This window comes from Homo sapiens, chromosome 15 (genome assembly GCF_000001405.40).
Source record: "Homo sapiens chromosome 15, GRCh38.p14 Primary Assembly".
NCBI classification, from domain to species: domain Eukaryota; kingdom Metazoa; phylum Chordata; class Mammalia; order Primates; family Hominidae; genus Homo; species Homo sapiens.
This window is the reverse complement of record NC_000015.10, coordinates 70955901-70978379: the sequence shown is the minus strand read 5'-3', so window position 1 is coordinate 70978379 and position 22479 is coordinate 70955901. Positions and strand designations below refer to the sequence as shown.

Genomic DNA, 22479 nt, shown 5'->3' with positions numbered 1-22479 from the left:
ATGATACAACTATTCTCTCTCTCACCTTGCTACAGCACCTGCAAAACTCCACAGGTGGGTACTTTGAAAGCCTGAGTACTAGAATGAGGACAACATAGAGCAAAGATCCCAAATCACACATCATAGGCAGACAGGTATTAGAAGCCTGAAATAAACTTTGTTGTTTTAATTCACTGAAGTTAGAGAAGCTGTTACTGCAGCACAATCTAGCCTATGCTGACCAGTATATATATGTTATATTAGAATTAAAGAAGGTCAAAGAGACTATGAAAATGTGTTCTAGAGGATGGGCCATTATACATGCTCCTGAAAACAAAGAAAAAACCTAGATTAAATAATTATATTTAAAAATGCACAAACAGAAACCAACACAGAGTTTAAAAAGAAAACTAAGAAAGCATATACTAGACAACTCTAATTTTAGAAATAAGGTAACAAATGCTCCAAGACATTAGTAACTTGTATGAGGTCACATAGCTAGTGACAAGGCCAGGATCAGGACCAGAAGCCATGGCCTGCTAGAAACAAAATTCATATTTTTTTTATAATAAAGATGTATTTAAATTAATTTTACTGATTTTAGATAGATAAAGAAGAGTTTAGAACTCAGAAGTGATCTGCCATATGATTTAGTTGTTTTAAAGGAAATGGAAATGGAAATGTAATGTAATTTTAGTGAATTTAAAGTGTCTTTTACAATATGGAAAATAATAATAATTATTATTTTTTTAAGACAGTCTTGTGTCTTGCTTGTTGCCCAGGCTTGGAGTGCCATGGTGCAATGTCAGCTCACTGCAACCTCCGCCTCCTGGGTTCAAGCAATTCTCATGTCTTAGCCTCCCAAGAAGCTGGGATTACAGGCATGTGCCACCATGCCAGGCTAATTTTTGTATTTTTAGTAGAGACAGGGTTTTACCATGTTGGCCAGGCTGGTCTCAAACGCCTAGCCTCATGTGATCTGCCCACTTCAGCCTCCCAAAGTGCTACAATTACAGGCGTGAGCCACCAATGCCCAGCTGGAAAATAATTATTCTTAACTTTTAAAAACTAAATAGAGGTAATGAGGAGAAATAAACTAAATTAAAAATGCAGAACTTTGAATCCTAGCTTCACAAAATATCTGGTTTAATAATTCTGTTAAATTCTTTTATTCAGTAAATACTGACTTGGTACCTACAGAGTACAATCTATTTCAGAATAAAGTGTTTAAAAGAGCAAAATACATTGATGTTCAATTGTTGACTCATCTATAAAATGTGAACTAGAAACAGATTGTTTTTTCAAAGAGCCAATTTCAAACAGTACTGGAAACTGTATGGATCACGTACTACACATACTTACGAGATGATTTCATCAGATTTTTGAAAAGAATTTGAGCTTCTATTAAAGGCAGTAGGGCTTAAAAGGAAAGCTAAACCTTGGAAAACTGGATTTACACCAAATCAATTCAAATATTGAATATTTTAAGGAATTTATGTATCTGAGAGCTATATTTCAGCCCAAATAATTACAGAGTAACTAAACTTAGAAAAAAAACCTCTAATTGTGAAGATAAGTTATAAATCTGTTGGTAAGAAAGAAAAACTAAAATTCTGGTATCTTCTTGATAATAGTCCAATTTCTGGGACAAAAGCCATATCCTTTACATAGCAAAAAATAAAAATAAAAAAATAAATAAGTTGGGGGGGGAATCTGGGATCTGGGACAAAAAACTACTTTTTCCTCACTTCATTTTGGCCATGAAGACCCAATATAGAAATAATTTCAAGTCAATTAAGCCATGCAGTGATTTAATAGGTGTTTGATAACCTAGATTATACTTTGTTAGCAGATATTAAGGCCTAAAACAATGCACATATCACACAAGAAAAAGACTGATCCAAAATAAATAATAGTAGTCCTAATATAGGCAGCATTTTATGAAATTTTAAAAATCAAATGGCAAGGTGTGTTTTAACCATATACTTTAGTTATAAACATTATTTTCTTTGAACATATAAAATATTAAAACAGACTTTAAAATCACAGGGTTTTTTCCCTCAAAGAGGTGGTCAATAATTTTTACTCAAACAATCACTTTTAGCAAACAAAACTGATTTTTTTGCAGGGTCACACCTAGTGTTAGAGTGAAGATTAGAAGCCATGTCACCTGACTTCTGGTCCAGGGATATTAGCTGTTAAATACTGGGGAGGGAAATAGTCAGAACAGGATAGGTTATGCTGCTGTAACAACTTCAAAACTTTCACTGGCTTATGACTTTAAAAAAGTTTATTTCTTGATCACGCAAAGAACACTGCACCTGTCTTCAATGTAGTGGCTAAGTATTCCTGAGTGCTATGATCTGATGGCATCCTCAACTTTATATAGGCTTCCGCAGTGACTACCACATGGGAAGGAAGCATGAGAATCATGCTTTTAAATGCTTCTGCCTGGAAATGATATACATTATTTCTGCTCACATTTCATTGGCCAAACATCTTCCCACATGTCAAAAAGGAGGAGAACCAGAGCATATTGGTGAACATTAGTAATGTCTACCAAAACAGAAAACGTACACATGAGATGAGCTCCTTTTTTTTTTTGGAGAGCAAATTGTAAACAAGTTCACACTAAGCCAATTAAATGTGAGCTTGAGGTGAAAACTTTAGACATTGTTTGTTTCTGAATTGTGTTGTTGTTTTGTTTTGAGACAGGATCTCATTCTGTCCCCCAGGCTTGAGTGCAGTGGCGAGATCTTGGCTCACTGCAGCTTTGACCTCCTGGGTTCAAGCGATCCTCCTGCCTCAGTCCCCCAAGTCTCTGGTACTACAGGCGTGTGCCTCCACACTCGGCTAAATTTTTTGTATTTTTTGTAGAGACAGGGTTTTGTCATGTTGGCCAGCTGGTCTCAAACTCCTGACTCAAGTGATCTGCCCACCTTGGCCTCCCAAAGTGCTAGGATTACAGGCATGAGCCACCACGCCCAACCCTGTTTCAGAATTGTGAGAATACTGCCTGCATTCACAAAATGCTGCCTTAGAAATAAAAAGGAAAATTCTGCCTCCCAGAATTTTCTATATAAGGGTCCTTGTTCTAGCCCCTCAACATGTGTCTGTTCTCTCTTTTTTTGAATAGTTGTGAAAACAGGTGAAGATCACTGGGATATCTTCCTTATGTCTTCTCCTTTGTCAACTAATCATGTCAGATTCTTTGGAAATGCTCTAGTTTATTGTCTGCCCTCTAAAACTAGTAATAGTTCAGGTGTAATCTGACCACTGTAGAAAAAAATGGGATGGGACTGTCTCCATTGTCTGAATTCTCTTTTTCTATAAATGAATATTGTTTTAAGCCATATTAACTTTTAATAATCACATCTCATAATTAATTGAACTTGAATTTAGCAATTCCAAGTCACTTTAACACACGCTGCTAAGTCTAATCTTGTATAATACTGAATTTGTGCTAAGAATTGTTTTGCTTGATTGTTGTTATGGAATAAAGTCCAGGATGTTCAATTCATCTATTTTTTATGTTGTTAAATTCTGCTTACTTTTCTAGACTAGGCATAAACAAACTTTTTCTGTAGAGGGTCAGATAGTATGGTAAATATTTTAGGCTTTGTGAGCTGTATGTGATCTCTATCTCATATCCTTCTTTGTTGTTCTTTTTTTTTTTTTTTACAATGCTTTGAAAACATAAAAGCCATTATTAGCTTGAGAGCTGTACAAAAAGCAGGCTGCCAGATGGATCTAGCCCATAGGCTGTAGTTTGCCAAACCCTGTTCTAGACTATGGAGATACTTTTGGATTCTCATTTGATCAACCAATATACCAAGAACTCTAATTTCTCTAGTTTCTGTCATTCACATACTTTACCAGAATAACAAATATTTTCTCCTAGACATTAATAAAAATGTGAATAGAATGGACTGGAGGAAAAAAGCCTCATGGCATGCCAGTACAGATTTCTCTAAAGGCTGGCATTAATCCATTACTTCATGTTCTGTAAGTATACTTGAATCAAAAATCTACATAACCATGTCATACAATTTACTCAAAATGATGCCATAAAAGACTTTGCCAAATGCTTTGCTTAAATACCAAAACACTGTCTATAGCACTCCTCTAACAAGGTCTATTTGTAATTTCTAGGTCAGGAAACTAATTCTTTTCTGGCATGAATTGTTTTTTAGTGAGCTAATGCTGCCTCCTAGTGACCAATTCCTAAGTACTCACAAACCATCTTTTTATTTTATTTTATTATTTTATTTTTTTGAGACAGAGTCCCCTTCTGTTGCCAGGCTGGAGTGCAGTGGCGCGATCTCGGCTCACCGCAACCTCCAACTCCCTGGTTCAAGTGATTCTCCAGCCTCAGCCTCCCGAGTAGCTGGGATTACAGGCACGCACCACCATGCCCAGCTAATTTTTGTATTTTTAGTACAGATGGGGTTTCACCATGTTGGCTAGGATGGTCTCAATCTCCTGACCTTGTGATCCGCCCACCTCAACCTCCCAAAGTACTGGGATTACAGGAGTAAGCCACCGCACTGGGCCACAAACCATCTTTTAATAATGCAATTTAAATTTATTTCAGAATCAACATCAAGTTGACTGTCACAATTTGTGGAATTTATATTCTGTACTTTTGACATTAAAAAAACCACAGTGCCACAAAGTCACTGTAGCCAGACTGACTGCCTCTCTAGATTCCTCTTCTCTAAGCTCAGCAACTCTGAAAGAAAGGCAGCAGCCCCACTCAGAGCTTATAGATAAAACTCCCATCTCCCTGGGACAGAGCACCTGGGGGAAGTGGCGGTTGTGGGCACAGCTTCAGCAGACATAAATGTTCCTGCCTGCCAGCTCTGAAGAGAGCAGCGGATCTCCCAGCAGAGTGCTCGAGCTCTGCTAAGGGACAGACTGCCTCCTCAAGTGGGTCCCTGACCCCCCTGCCTTCTGATGGGGAGATACCTCCCAGCAGGTGTTGACAGACACTTCATACAGGAGAGCTCCAACTGGCATCTGGCGGGTGCCCCTCTGGGATGAAGCTTCCAGAGGAAAGAGCAGGCAGCAATGTTTTGCTGTTCTGCAGCATCTGCTGGTGACACCCAGGCAAACAGGGTGTGGAGTGGACCCCCAGCAAACTCCAGCAGACCTGCAGAAGAGGGGCCTGACTGTTAGAAGGGAAAAAACAGAAAGCAATAGCATCAACATCAACAAAAAGGATAACTACGCAAAAACTCCATCCAAAGGTCACCAACAGCAAAGACCAAAGGTGGATAAATCCACGAAGATGAGGAAAAACCAGCACAAAAAGGTTGAAAATTCCAAAAACCAGAATGCCACTTCTCCAAAGGATCACAACTCCTCACCAGCAAGGGAACAAAACTGGATGGAGAATGAGTTTGACGAATTGACAGAAGTAGGCTTCAGAAGGTGGGTAGTAACAAACTCCTCCAGGCTAAAGGAGCATGTTCTAACCCAATGGAATGAAGCTAAGAACCCTGAAAAAAGGTTACAGGAACTGCTAACAAGAATAACCAGTTTAGAGAAGAACATAAATGACCTGATGGAGCTGAAAAACACAGCACAAGAATTTCGTGAAGCGTACACAAGTATCAATAGCTAAATCGATCAAGCAGAGGAAAGGATATCAGAGACTGAAGATCAACTTAATGAAATGAAGCGTGAAGACAAGATTAGAGAAAAAAGAATGAAAAGGAATGAACAAAGCAGCCAAGAAATATGGGACTATGTGAAAAGACCAAACCTACATTTGATTGCTGTACCTGAAAGTGACGGGGAGAATGGAAGCAAGTTGGAAAACACACTTCAGGATATTATCCAGGAGAACTTCCCCAACCTAGCAAGACAGGCCAACATTCAAATTCAGGAAATACGGAGAACACCACAAAGATACTCCTCAAGAAAATCAACCTCAAGACACATAATCATCAGATACACCAAGGTTGAAATGAAGGAAAAAATGTTAAGCACAGCCAGAGAGAAAGGTTGCGTTATCTACAAAGGGGAGCCCATCAGACTAACATTGGATCTCTCTGCAGAAACCCTACAAGCCAGAAGAGAGTGGGGGCCAATATTCAACATTCTTAAAGAAAAGAATTTTCAACCCAGAATTTCATATCCAGCCAAACTAAGCTTCATAAGTGAAGGAGAAATAAAATACTTTACAGACAAGCAAATGCTGAGGTATTTTGTCACCACCAGGCCTGCCTTACAAGAGCTCCTGAAGGAAGCACTAAATATGGAAAGGAAAAAACAGTACCAGCCACTACAAAAACAAACCAAAGTGTAAAGACCATCGACACTATGAAGAAACTGCATCAACTAATGGGCAAAAAACACCAGCTAGCATCATAATTACAGGATCAATTTCACACATAACAATATTAACCTTAAATGTAAATGGGCTAAATGCCCCAGTTAAAAGAAACAGACTGGCAAATTGGATAAAGAGTCAAGACCCATTGGTGTGCTGTATTCAGCAGACCCATCTCACATGCAAAGACACACATAGACTCAAAATAAAGTGATAGAGGAAGATTTACCAAGGAAATGGAAAGCAAAAAAAAAAAAAAAAAAAAAGGAGTGGTTACAATCCTAGTCTCTGACAAAACAGACTTTAAACCAACAAAGATCAAAAAAGACAAAGAAGGGCATTGCATAATAATAAAGGGATCTAATGCAATAAGAAGAACTAACCATCCTAAATACATATGCACCCAATATAGGAGCACTCAGATTCATAAAACAACTTCTTAGAGACCCACAAGGAGACTTAGACTCCCACACAATAATAATGGGAGATTTTAACACCCCACTGTCAATATTAGACAGATTAACAAGACAGAAAATTAACAAGGATATTCAGGACTTGAACTCAGCTCTGGAGCATGTGGACCTAATAGACATCTACAGAACTCTCCACCCCAAATCAACAGAATATACAGTCTTCTCAGCACCACATCGTACTTATTCTAAAATCAACCGCATAATTGGAAGTAAAACATGCAAAAGAATGGAAATCACAACAAACAGTCTCTCGGACCACAGTGCAATCACGTTAGAACTCAGGATTAAGAAACACACTCAAAACCACAAAACTACATGGAAACTGAACAACCTGCTCCTGAATGACTACTGGGTAAATAATGAATTTAAGGGAGAAATAAAGAAGTTCTTTGAAACCAATGAGAAAAAAGACACAATGTACCAGAATCTCTGGGTGCTAAAGCAGTGTTTAGAGGGAAATTTATAGTACTAAATGGCCACAGAAGAAAGTGGGAAAGATCTAAAATTGACACCCTAACATCACAATTGAAAGAATTAGAGAAGCAAGAGCAAACAAATTCAAAAGGTAGTAGAAGACAAGAAATAACTAAGATCAGAGCAGAACTGAAGGGGATAGAGAACGAATGACCCTTCAAAAAATCAATGAATCCAGGAGCTGATTTTTTGAAAAGATCAACAAAATAGGTAGACTGCTAGCCAGATTAATAAAGAAGAAGGGAGAGAAGAATCAAATATACACAATAAAAAATGATAAAGGGGAGATCACCACTGATGCCACAGAAATACAAACTACCATCAGAGAATACTATAAACACCTCTATGCAAATAAACTAGAAAATCTAGAAGAAACAGATAAATTCCTGGACACATATACCCTCCCAAGACTAAACCATGAAGAAGTTGAATCCCTGAATAGACCAATAACAAGTTCTGTAATTGAGGCAGTAATTAATAGCCTACCAACCAAAAAAAGCCCAGGACCAGATGGATTCACAGCTGAATTCTACCAGAGGTACAAAGAGGAGCAGGTAGCATCCCTTCTGAAACTACTCCAAACAATAGAAAAAGAGGGACTCCTCCCTAACTCATTTTATGAGGCCAGCATCATCCTGATACTAAATCCTGGCAGAGACACAACAACAACAAAAAAAGAAAATTTCAGGCCAGTATCCCTGATGAACATCAATGCGAAAATCCTCAGTAAAATAGGGGCAAACCGAATCCAGCAGCACATTAAAAAGCTTATCCACCACGATCAACCCAGCTTCATCCCTGGGATGCAAGGCTGGTTCAACATACTCAAATCAATAAATGTAATCCATCACATAAACAGAACCAATGACAAAAACCATATGATTATCTCAATAGATGCAGAAAAGGCCTTCGATAAAAATTCAATACCGCTTCATGCTAAAAACACTCAACAAACTAGGTATTGATGGAACATATCTCAAAATAATAAGAGCTATTTATGACAAACCCATAGCCAATATCATACTGAATGTGCAAAAGCTGGACGCATTCCCTTTGAAAACTGGCACAAGACAAGGATGCCCTCTCTCACCACTCCTATTCAACATAGTATTGGAAGTTCCGGCCAGGGCAATCAGGCAAGAGAAAGAAATAAAGGGTATTCAGATAGGAAGACAGGAGTCAGATTATCTCTGTTTGCAGATGATATGATTGTATATTTAGAAAACCCCATCATCTCAGCCCCAAAACTCCTTAAGCTGATAAGCAACTTCAGCAAAGTCTCAGGATACAAAATCAATATCCAAAAATCACAAGCATTCCTATACACCAATAATAGACAGAGAGCCAAATCATGAGCAAACTCCCATTCACAATTGCTACAAACAGAAGAAAACGTCTAGGCATACAACTTACAAGGGATGTGAAGGACCTCTTCAAGGAGAACTAAAAACCACTGCTCAAGGAAATAAGAGAGGACATAAACAAATGGAAAAACATTCTATGCTCGTGGATAGGAAGAATCAATATAGTGAAAATGGCCATACTGCCCAAAGTAATTTATATATTTAATGCTAATCCCATCAAGCTACCATTGACTTTCTTCACAGAATTAGAAAAAACTACTTTAAATTCATTTAGAACCAAAAAAGAGCCCATATAGCCAAGACAATCCTAAGAAAATGAACAAAGCTGGAGGCATCATGCTACCTGACTTCAAACTATACTACAAGGCTACAGTAACCAAAACAACAAGGTACTGGTACCAAAACAGATATATAGACCAATGGAACAGAACAGAGCCCTCAGAAATAATGCCACACATCTACAACCATCTGATCTTTGACAAACCTGACAAAAACAAGCAATGGGTAAAGGATTCCCTATTTAATGAATGGTGCTGGGAAAACTGGCTAGCCATATGCAGAAAGCTGAAACTGGACCCCTTCCTTACACCTTACACAAAAATTAATTCAAAATAGATTAAAGACTTAAACTTAAGACCTAAAACCATGAAAACCCTAGAAGAAAACCTAGGCAATACCATTCAGGACATAGGCATGGGCGAAGACTTCATGACTAAAACACCAAAAGCAACGGTAACAAAAGCCAAAATTGACAAATGGGACCTAATCAAACAAAAGAGCTTCTGCACAGCAAAAGAAACTATCATCAGAGTCAACAGGTAACCTACAGAACGGAAGAAAATTTTTGCAATCTATCCATCCGACAAAGGACTAATATCCAGAATCTACAAGGAACGTAAACAAATTTACAAGAAAGAAACAAACAACCCCATCAGAAAGTGGGGGAAGGATATGAACAGACACTTCTCAAAAGAAGACATTTATGTAGCCATCAAACATGAAAAAAAGCTCATCATCACTGGTCATTAGAGAAATGCAAAGCAAACCACATTAGAGAAACGCAAATCATGCCATTTAGAATGGTGATCATTCAAAAGTCAGGAAACAACAGATGCCGGAGAGAATGTGGACAAATAGGAATGCTTTTACACTGTTGGTGGGAGTGTAAGTTAGTTCAACCATTGTGGAAGACAGTGCAGCAATTCCTCAAGGATCTAGAACTAGAAATACCATTTGACCCAGCAATCCCATTACTGGGTATATACCCAAAGGATTATAAGTTATTCTACTATAAAGACACATGCATACGTATGTTTATTGCAGCACTATTCACAATAGCAAAGACTTGGAACCAAAATGCCCATCAATCTTAGGCTGGATAAAGAAAATGTGGCACGTATACACCATGGAATACTATGCAGCCATAAAAAAGAATGAGTTCATGTCCTTTGTACGGACATGGATGAAGCTGGAAACCATCATTCTGAGCAAACTATTGCAAGGACAGAAAACCAAGCACTGCATGTTCTCATTCATAATGGGAGTTTAACAATGAGAACACATGGGCACAGGGAGGGGAACATCACATACCAGGGCCTGTTGGGGTGTGGAGGCAAGGAGAGGGATAGCATTAGGAGAAATATCTAATGCAGATTACGGGTTGATAGGTGCAGCAAACCACCATGGCACCTGTATACCTATGTAACAAACCTGCACATTCTGCACATGTATCCCAGAACTTAAAGTATAATCAAAAATAAACAAATAAATAAATAAAGCAATATTGCAAAAAAAAAAAAAGTTACTTCATCTTACCTTTCAGCTGCTCCATTATTCTATAACCCTACCTAGACAAAACTCTCAGTGGTTCAGCGATTTATTCAGTGCTCTAGATTAAGGACTGCCAAACTCTAGGCCACAGGCCAAAGTCAGCCACCTGTTTTTCTAAATAACATTCTCCTGGAACAGAATCATGCTTATTCATATATGTATTGTCCATGCCTTTTTTCATACTACAATGGGCAAACTGAGTAGTTTCAACAGACAATATGCAGGCCCCAAAGCCTAAAATATTTACTATCAGGTCCTTTATAGATAAAATTTGCCAACCCTTGCTCTAGATGTGGGCCTGAGTTCCAACTTATTTATTTACCTATCCTAAGCTTCACTTTTATCTTATTAATCTTTATGCTAATCTTTACAAACTAAAACCCCTTCTTCTGAAGAAAGATAAAGCAAAATAGGAGTTGAGGCCAGTGATAGATGGCATCATATTATCTCTTGCCATTCCTCTGGATCAGATTCCCAGACTCTTACTCTGATTAATCTCCTTGCTTCTCATCTCATCACCCATCGCATCCTCTCCGATCTATCTTCAAGGCTGAACCCAGAAAGACAGTCTTCTTAATAGGCAAATCCAATTTAACTACCTTAAACTCTTCAAGGGTTTCTCCTATTATGTCCAAGACAAAAATCTAAACTCCTTATTATGATATAAAATGCCCTAGTCCTTGCCTGTCCTTGCCTGTCAGACATAGTTGTCTCCTTCTATGTCCCTCAGCCATGTACACTCAATGCTTAGCCATGTTGAACTCCTGTCAGCTGCTATATTCTCTCAGCTTCCTTCTGCATTTTGCATGCCTTTATTTTCCACAAATACATCCTCCTTCTTCTTTACCACCCTTAAAGTCTTGAGTCAATTATTTTCTCCTTTGGAACTTTTCTGTTTTTCAGGTAGACTTGGGATTGCTTTGCTCTTTGATATCATTTTGCCCTGGGTGTAAGTGTGTTGACACAAACATATATCTCTATTGATCCATCTAGTAATCTTATCTCTCTAGATTGTCATTTTGCACTGTAATCCAGCTGCATGGTTGCCTCTGCAGACAACTGCAAGTAACTTTAGGGCATGAACTGTGATTTTGATCTTTTCATCTCTACTGTCTAATATATATCCTAGTACAGAAACTCGTGAGTTCAAGATACCTAATAGTCTCAGGGATTTTTTCACAGTGCCTCTAGGCCAAAAGAAATATGTGACAACTCTGTTTACTAAGTAGTTTGGTCCAAACAATTTAATAAGTATTCATGGTCTAGCACTTTAGTAGCAATTAAAAAATAATATATGTAAATAGAAAGAAAAAATATTTTATATCATTTTTAAATAACCACAACTACTTATCAATGGAATGTGTAGAACCAGGAGGACGTTATACAATTTCTCAAACAGAGAATCACATTGGACACTGCCATCCCCATTTCCTGTTCGATACTGATTTTGGCAAGGTATTTATTTTTATTACAACAACTACTGAAAATTCAGCTTTTCAAAGATAGGAAGTGATTGAAACAAATATAGTGTGAGGTCATGTTGAAATGGTAAACTATTTGAGCTACTAATTTGCCCACAGTCTCAGAGATGTCAAATCTCACTGTGTTTCCCCTGGAAGTTAAAAATCACTCCCTATGAGTTCACTGCAGCATCCTCTGCACGCAGTTTAGGAACCACTGCCCCAGTGCACAGAAGTTCATTAAATATTTGTGTAATCCACCACAGTGAGAATGTTTATATGGTAATTTACACAAAAATTCAATTAAGATATTGTTTCTTAAAGAGAAAAAATAGTTACTGGCATCAGCAAACTTTTTCAGCCAGATAATAAATATTTTGGGCTTGTAGGCCACATAGTATCCATAGCAACTACTTGACTCTGCCATTGCAGCATCAAAGCAAACATAGATAATACATAAATGAATGGGCATCACTGTGTTCCAATACAACTTTATTTACAAAAACAGGTAGCCAGCTCACAGGCTGTTTGTTGACATTTGTTATAAAAAGTCCTTAAAAAAGGTACAGCTTCCACACTAAAGTTACTAAAAAGTTATAAATAAAAGACGAGACTAAATACCATAAGTCCATATAGATATGAATGAATGAATAAATTTACATTTTTATGAGGAATGGGATTACAAAGGGAAAAAGAGAATCTTCACAAAGAAAAGCTTGGCAGAAATCATCCTAAAGTAAGCATCCTCAATAAAGAGATAAATATGAAGAACATGTTGTAAGACATGCTGGTCTAAGATGCAATGAGAAGAATACAAAATCACTGCTATGATATTAATGCCAAAAACCTATAAGTAAAAATTAATCATGAGGAAACATCAAAAAATCTGAATTGAGGGTCATTCTACAAAAAAACTAACCTGTAATTTTCATAAATATCAGTCATGAAAATCAAAGAAAGACTGAGAAATAGTTCCAGAAAAATGATGACTTTAGAGACATGACAACAAAATTCAGCTATAATGCAATGTATAATTTTAAACTGCATCTTTTTGCTGTAAAGAACAATATTGATATAACTGGTAAAAGTTCAATGTGGTGTGAGAATTAGATGCTAGTAATCTGTAGGTGCCAGGCAAGAAAGAAGAATGGTTTCTGCCTTTAAAGACTATATATTGTTTGGGTAGACAAGACTGACAAATAAATTCACTATGAGGAACATACCATATAATTAAGTACTAATTTATATAAACGAGTTAGCTCTAAATCTTATCCCACTCATCTCAACCTCATTAGAAAGAGCAATTTAAGAAGTAGCATAGATGCTTAACTAAGAAAGACATGGAGATAAGGGTAAAGAGTCACCACAAAAATATGAAACAGTGTTGACACTATAGAGCTGAATTAACTAAGAGGACAAAGAACCATAGCTCCACCATGGAATAGAGAGAGAGGCAGAACCCTAGAAGACCTCTGGTATCCATCAATTCATCCACACTTTTAGCTATTAGCTAGCCACCTTAGAGGTCCACAGTATTGCCAACGCATAAATGAAAACTGCACACATTGTGATGCTAATATACAAAGAAATAGGTCAGTTGGCAACTGCATAAACCTAGGTGATCAACAGAATTCACATGAAAATCAGCAGTCCAGAAGAGAGAAAATAGGTAGAGGCTTAGGATATTTTTCTAGGTCAGAGACTATCAAACTGAGATTATTAAAATGTGTTTTCTCATAACAAATAAACCTGGTCAAAGAAACAAAGTTAAACAAGTTTATTTAATTACAGAACTTCTTGGATCCTATAATATGCTAATACACATTGTACACCTAAAAAGAGGGGGATATTATGCACAGCATTTCCTTAGATCAGAAACCATATTAAAACATCTAAGTGTAGAAAATATCTTAACATGGAGATACGATGAATAAAAAGAGGTAGCTACTTTGGGAGATATAACATCAACAATAACAACTACATACAAATGCCTCCTAGGAGCCTCGCAGTCTAAAGTGTAGTACCTTATTTTCTAAGGTGTAGTACTTTATTTCATCTTCGCGACAAACCTATGACTTAATTCTGATCCCCATTTTACTTTGAGGAAAATGAGGTATACAAAGATTAAATACATTGCCAAAGGACTATCGTTAGAAAGCAGTCAAGCCAGAATTCAGACGCAGGCAATCTGGCTCCAGTGTCCATGCTCTTAACCACTATGCTACATAACTTAAAGAAATTCTCACTCATTCATTTCAAAATAAATTATTATTTGGATATTAAGCAAGAATGAAAAATAAACACGATGATTAATTTAAACAGAAGGCTAGGAATTTTAAAAGTCTTGCTCAATTAAACTTGGGATGGGATCAGGCAGTAAAAACTACATAATTGCAATTATGAAGTATACAATCATGATAACCCATAGTTCACTAAAATTAAGAAGCATTTCAAGCAAAGAATATGCATCCCAATTTCCTAATCCACACTAAGGACAACAACATGGTGAACACTTTGGAAGGGTTCTCACCGTGATTCTCTTCATATCTAGCTGGCGCAGCTGCATCATATTCTGAAGGACAGTGTGTTTGTACCATGACTCTTGAGCTATGGGATTGCCATCAAAGGTGATGTCCGAGAGGGAAGAAGAGTCAGCAAGGCAGGAAACACTGTCAAAACTGCAGGAGAGACAGAAACCACTGGATTATTCTGAGGCCTTAAGATAATACTTTCATTTTTAATAGACTTTATTTTTAGCACAGTTTTAGATTTACAGAAAAATTGAGAAGATAGTACAGAGTTCCCCTATACCCCATACCCAGTTTCCCCTATTGCTAACATCTTGTGTTAGTATAGTACATTTGTTACAATTAATCAACCAAAGTAAACATATTCTTAGTAGCTAAAGCCTGTATTTTATCCAGGTTTCCCTTAGTTTTTACCTAATGTCCTTTTTCTGTTCCAGGATCCCATGGAGGATACCATATTACATTTAGTTGTCATATCTCCTGAGGCTCCTCTTGGCTGTGACAATTTCTCAGACTTGCCTTGTTTTTGATGAGTTGACAGTTTCGAGGAATACTCATCAGTTATTTTGTAGGATGACCCCCTATTAGGATTTGTCTGATATTTTTCTCATGATTAGATGGGGGTTAAGATACCTACTTTTTTTTTTTTTTTTTTTTTTGAGACCAGGTCTCACTCTGTCATCCAGGCTGGGTTTCAGTGGTGCAATCATAGCTAATCCTAACCTCAAACTCTTGGGCTCGAGCAATCCTCCCACCTGAGCAACCCAAGTAGTTGGAACTACAGGTATGTACCATCATGCCTGGCTAATGTTTTACTTTTTATTTTGTCTACAAAATAAAAAGCGTCTCACTATGTTGCCCAAGCTGGTCTCGAACTCCTGTTTAAGCGATCCTCCCACCTTGCCCCCCCAAAGTGCTGGAATTAACAGGCATGACCACTATGCCCAGGTGGTATATATTATTAATATGACTTATTACTGTTGATGTTGACCCTGATCAACATGTTCAAGGCTGAGGCTGAGGTTATGTTCTTCAGGTTTCTCCAATGTAAAGTTACCATTGCATCCTCTCCTTTTCATACTCAACTATTTGTAAGGAAGTCACCATGTACAGCCCACACTCAGGGAGTGGGAAGTTAAGCTCCTCCTCCTTGAGGACACAGAGTCTGAACTCATGGATATTTATTCTATGCTTTGGGTTATTATCCAATACAATTTTACTATTTTGTTGTTCAAATTGTTCCAGCTTTGGCCATTGGAAGCTCTTTCAATTGGCTTCTATGTCCCTTTGGTTCCCATCGATGTGGATTTTTTTTTTCTTTTTCTGAGCACTTTCTTACTTTCTGGCACTATAAGATTTTCTATACTCATGTATTTTCTAGACTAATTCCGGTCCTGGTCCTAGAATCGGCCATTTCTGAGGAGCCATAGTTCCTTTTATTGGAGACTAGTATTAGAAACAAAGATCTGGGGGCTAAGTGTACTTCTTGCTACTGTGGGGTCATTTCCTTTAGTCCCTCTCAGCTGACACAGCAAGAAAATATATGTGTGTACAGAAACCTGTGTATATGCATATATCTATAAATATTTCTCTAAGTAACCATCTGTCCATCTGTGCCATCTGTGTCTATATTAAGCTAAAGATGAGTTTATACTGATGTCTCCAACTCTAATCCATCACCAAATGAATCATTCTAGCCTCCTTCCCTTGCTTATCTGAACATTTCTACTTCAACAAGAAGTTTGGCTTCAAACCATCAACTCTCCATTTACTTAATTATTCAATTCCAATATGTATGTATAGAGGTATCAGAATGTTTAATGTGTACCCCCAATGAGAAACAACTTTATCAACTAAAGTACAATGATTAGGTATAATTGCTTTTCCATTTAGTCTTACAGGCTCATTTCCGAAGTTTCTTAGATCAGTGCCTTTTCCCCCACCCCCTTAGGGAGGTTGTTTCATACATTTTTAATACAGTTAGATTCTCTTGTCGGTCTGCATTCCTTTCTGAGATCCTCTAAACTCCTAAGTGATTTTTTAACATTTGCATATATTAAGGCTTACTTTTTAATTGTGTAAATTTCTACAGGCTTAATGTCATGTATCCACCATTAAAGTATCTTAGAGAACCGTTTCATGACACTAGAAAAATCTGCTGTACTTTAGCCATTTGATCTTCTCTCCTCCTCCCAAATCACTGGCAACCACAAATCTTTCTACTGTCACTATAGTTCTGCCATTTCTAGAATGTCATATAATTGGAATCATGTAATATGTAGCCTTTTCAGATTGACTTCTTTCACTTAGCAATATGCATTTGTTTCATCCATGTCTTTCTGTGGCTTCATAGCTCATTTCTTTTTATCACTGAGCAATATTCCATTGTATGGATATACCATAGCTTCTTTATCCATTCACCTTCTGAGGACATCTTGGCTGCTTCCAGTTTTTGTTGATTATGAATAAAGCTGCTGTAAATATTCACCTGCAACTTTTTGTGTGGGCATAAGTTTTCAATTCAAATGGATAAATACCTAAGAGTATAACTGCTGTATATTACAGTAAGACTATGTTTATTTTAGCTTTGTAAGAAACTGCCGAACTATCTTCCAAAGTGGCTGTATCATCTTGCAATCTTAACAGCTCACCATCCTCACCAGCATTTGGTATCTGTGTTCTGGAATTTCAGTGACTCCAAGAGGTACATAGTGGTATCTCACTGTTTTAATATGCAATTCCCTAATGACAAAAGATGCTGAGCATCTTTTCATATGCATACTTGCCATCCATGTATCTTCTTTGTGTTTTCAGCTCTTTTGCCTATTTTAAATTGGATTCTTTCTTCTCTTACTGTGGAATTCTAAGATTTTTTTAAAATTTGGATACAAGTCTTTTATTAGATATATATTTTGCAAATATTTATCTCAGTCTGTGGCTTGTCTTTTCCTTCTCTTAACAGTGTCTTTCACAGAACAGATGTTTCTAATTTTAATGATGCCCAACTTAACAATTTTCTCTTTCATAGATCCTACTTTTGGTCCTGTATCTAAAAACTAATTGCCAAATCCAAGGTTGTCTGGATTTTCTCCTAAGTTTTCTTTAGAAGTTTAATGGTTTTGTGTTTTACATTTAAGTCTATGATCCATTTTGAGTTAATTTAGTAAAAGGTGTAAGGCCCATGTCTATATTCCTTTTTTTCATATGGACATCCAATTGTTCCATTACCATTTGCTGAAAAGACTATCCTTTCTCTATTGAATTGCTTTTGCTCCTTTATCAAAGATCACCTGAATATATTTGTATGGGTCTATTTCTGGGCCTTTTATTTGGTTCCATTGATACATGTGTCTACTCTTTCACCAATACCACACTGTCATGATTACTGTAGTTTTATAAGGAATCTTTATTATATAGCTTTGAAATGATTTAAACACTTAGTTTATTTACTACATGAATGATACACGTTTTGCTCTGATAAGAACATGAAGTTTAATTCCTCTCCCTGTAAGATTGTTATATCACTCCTCATCAGACCACATACATGAGTTATTGGGCTCAACGACTGGACTTTAAAAACACATATAAACCCAAGATTTTGACAGATTGATAACTTAGGCTTTGTCAGGGCTACTCTATGTCAGACACTTCTCCAAAGACCAAAATATCAGACTAGCAGGGTTGCTCTCTGTCAGCCTTTGAACTATCCTCCAAAGCCCAGTAACACTGGCACTGCTTGTTAGTGTTGAGGGACATTGCACATTGTTATGGATGTACACTGTGGTGATCAAACCATCCCTCCTGAAACCACTTATAGAAAAGTACTCTCCAAACTTTGATTAGACTTTACATCCACAGAGGCAAGCTTCCATCCTAATTTAGCAACTAGACTTTAAAAACTGGACTCTAAACTAAATTGGAACTCATCCAATATGTGGATAATGTACTTTATCTATTGAGTATATTCCCTATGATGTTTCTTCCTGTTATTCTTCCATTCTTTGAGCATTATGAATAAAAATGATAAGCTCTTTGTATGGCAATAAACTGTGTGATTTGTGAAAACATACTTTGATCATCTGTTTATTTTAACCATACAAAACAGTCTTGCAAAAGGTTAGTGTGACTCCTCTAACTTTTTCTTCAGTATTGTGTCACTATTCCAGGTCTGGCCTTTTCATATAAACTTTAGAATTCAATTGTTGATATCTATAAATAACCTATGGGATTTTGATTGGGATTTTCTTTCTTTCTGGCCTTTTCATATAAACTTTAGAATCCAATTGTTGATATCTATAAATAACCTATGGGATTTTGACTGGAATTTCCCTCCCTTCCTTCCTTCCTTCCTTCCTTCCTTCCTTCCTTCCTTCCTTCCTTCCTTCCTTCCTTCCTTCCCTCCTTTCCTCCCTCCCTCCCTCCCTCCTTCCTTCCTTTCTTTCTTTCATGGAGTTTTGCTCTAGTTGCCCAGACTGGAGCGCAATGGCACAATCTCGGCTCACTGCAACCTCCGCCTCCCTGGTTCAAGCGATTTTCCTGCCTCGGCCTCCCGAGTAGCTGGGATTACAGGCATGCACCACCACACCCGGCTAATTCTTTGTATTTTTAGTAGAGACAGGGTTTCACCATGGCCAGGCTGGTCTTGAACTCCTGACCTCAGGTGATCCGCCCGCCTCGGCCTCCCAGAGTGCTGGGATTACAGGCGTGAGCCACCGCATCCAGCCGGGATTTTTATTTTTTAAAGAAATAATCACTTTTCTAAATAATACCACAGGGCACCTTGGTAAAACTCATTTATATTAGAGTCATTCTCATTCAGTACACAAATACTTTATAAATACTTTATTTATTCAGGCACTAAATTACCAGTACTTTATAGTACTATAAATACTTTATTTATTCAGGCACTAAATTAAATATCTCTTCTCACTGTGTCAAGAAAAGCTAGATGATATAGAATATTCATGGTATAGAAAATAATGTAGGTACTAACAAGGTTGAGGCAAGTTCTACAGCAAGAATAAAGTTCACTGCTTTTATTGTCATATTTAAATATTTCTTCTATGTTTTCCTCACACTCAAGGTAAAAAGATACCCTGCTATTAATTATTTTACCTCAGAGCTTGTCTTTACCAATCTAAAAGGTAAACCTCACAATTTATACGCAACTCATAGTGTTTGAGACATGTTTAGATAAATATTGGAAGGCATTTTTTAACAAACTAGTATATGAAGGTGAAGATGTGAGTTTATAAATTTAAACTTAATCATCACTTAAAGTATAAACAAGCTTGAACAAACATAATTTTTCCTACCCAGCATTGCCAAAATTCATTTTCTTCATCAGTATAAAAATCTCAGAACAGTTTCTGGTATTTGTGATGGCTTTTCTCTCCTTCCCCCATAGTTGTGTACATAAAGCTTGAATCAAATAAAAATGCTTCTGAAGGCAATGTTTTATTTCTTCCACTTTGTTAAAGTGAACTAACTCATCACTTTCCCTCCACAAATCTGCTTTTCTATGTGTATTTTCTACTTGATAAATGATGCCACCATCAAAACAATAATTAAGAATGGGAACTGTAAAGAGTCATGAAGGGATTTTAAGCAAGGCAGTTAATATGATCAGAATAGTATTTTAGAAAAATCACAAATTAATAACGTCATGAAGGGTATACGAAAAAGAAAAGAGATAAGAATCAAAAGCTAGTTATAAAGCAGATTGCGGTAACAGAGGTGAAAAACAGGGCTTAACATGTCAAAAACCAAGGTAGTAGTCAGGAGAGTAAAGAGGGGAGATGTTCTATGGAAGTTTAGAGTGTAGCATGGACAGAAATTAGTAATCATTTGGATGTGATAAGGAAAGGAATCCAGAATAACTCCAAGTTTCTCTCTCAGGTGAACAACTAGAGTTATGGTTACAAGGGTACATACTCTGTCAAAATTCATTGAACTCTACACTTAAAATGTGTGCATTTTATTATATGTAAATTATATCTTTAAAAATTAATTTACAGAGAAATTTTAAACTATAAAAAATATATATTTGACAGATTATCTTTTCATCTATCAAGTCTCCTTTTCCTGGAACACTGTTATGTTGGTGGCCAATGGCCATTAAGATACATTTCAAAAGGGTTTTCACTAAGTTTTCCTCCAACTACCATAGGATGGGCTCACTAATTTCCACCTTAAGGTATTAACTAATGTGAAGAGCAGAGGTAACAGAGCCAGTAGATGTTGAAGAGCATTTTTTTTTCCAATACTCAACCTAACTCAATAGAATTAAACTGTAAGTTTCTTGAAGACTGGAAAGATACTGTGACCACTGCCCCAACACCTAACTTAAGACCAATCTTTAGTAAGTGTGCAATAAAGTTTCGGTGAATGAATGAAAAAAATGTGATGAACTGGAATAATTCCAAAAGGCTTATCCTTGATTAAAAAAAAAGTGAATGAGTGAATTTTCTTACACTTTTATTGGAATTATTATTTAAAGGATAACATGATATTTAAGTAGCATTATGACCCTATATATTACTAATTAGGCAGATGCACTTAAAAGTGAAAATAATATGTACAAAAGCATAGACAAGCTGGAAAACTTAATTTTATTATAGATAGATTCTAATTTTATTGCTATTTACTATTTATTTACAAGCCAGATTGTAGAGTCTATCATTTGTTTCTCATTGCTAAGTAGAATTTTAAACTAAAATGATTGTAACTGTTCTCAGCCCTGTCTCTCAAGTATTCCTTTGGGGAATTAAATTGATCTAATAATTGCCAATGGAATTGGTCTAAGAATGGGTGGTGTCACACACAAAACTAAACAGTATCTTCATTTAATTAAATACAAAGCACTTTTTTATGTATAGAAGAAAACAGTATGCCCAGTATACATTATAAAGAACTTCAGAGATCTAAAAGACCTGTAGATGCCCATATGGTCTATGTCTGTAATTCAAGCACAACAAAAAAGTGGCATCAGGAATGGGAACATCACTGCAGTCCTCAGCAAGTACTATCCGGGCAACTGCTCCCACATCAGCTACTACTGTTGACACTCAGACTGAAGTCTTTATGCTTTGAATAGTTTTATTAAAGTAAAAATAAATCTGTATTTGATCCAGAAGATTCCTCACAAAATTTCATTTCCATCTGCCAGGCATTTGACCAATAACCATGCCAGACATTCCTAGAAGTTCACTGACAAAGACCATATGATTTTAAAGACATTCTCTAACCAAATAAAACAATACTCTTAAGTACAAATACAGGCTAATGATGGGTTATATTTTACCTAACCAAACAAAATCAAAAGCAGACTGTTTAAAAAAAAACACCTGGAAATAAAACAGTAAGTATAGTGAAATACTGGCTTTTAAAAACAGTCTCTCTCTCTCGCCACCCCACCTTTTTTTTTTTTTTTTGGCAGAGGGTTTAAGAACACTCAATTGCTCTCATCTCTTTAGAGTACCAAGAATGAAAAAGCTTTGGTCCAAAGGCTGACATTTAACTTATAATTGACTTTAATCTTTTTCCAGATTACTCATACATTTGTTCTTCCCCTAGTAGTCTCCTCACATTGCCACATCTGCTTCCTATCTGCTAAAGAACCTATAGAGAAACAGTCTGTCCCTACTGACCAAAATTCATATCCCGAAAGGAAAAGAAAATATTTTAGTCCATTTTATGCTTACTTAATAAAATACAGAGAAAGAAATAAAATTCCCATATATGCATGTATCACACAGCATAGATATTTAACTAACAATTCCTAAATATCAGTCAAATTTCTCCAATTAGAAATTTTCCTCCCCTAAGTAAGCTAAGTACTTTAGAAAAAGGGCTTTTACTCTTTTATACCAGCAAGGTACCATGATCTCTGAAATAATCTTAATGAAAAGCCACTTATTTTATATTGATCAGTGAGGATTTTTCTGAATAGTTACTATTTGCCTAGAGGGCTGAAGTGAAATGGAACAATAGAATAAATCATCAAGCGTGCTCACAAGGACTGAAATATACACA

General features: G+C 36.6%; 1 protein-coding gene across 5 annotated transcripts in view; it reads right to left on the bottom strand.

The window, feature by feature from the left end:
• The window catches only part of LRRC49 (leucine rich repeat containing 49), a 200281-nt gene that overhangs the window by 75279 nt on the left and 102523 nt on the right, over positions 1 to 22479 (bottom strand). For all 5 annotated transcript variants that reach the window (NM_001284357.2, NM_001199017.3, NM_001363732.2 and 2 more), the window contains one exon: positions 14448 to 14595. In NM_001284357.2, coding sequence (NP_001271286.1) covers positions 14448 to 14595 — 148 coding nt within the window. The remainder of the gene's footprint in view (positions 1 to 14447; positions 14596 to 22479) is intronic.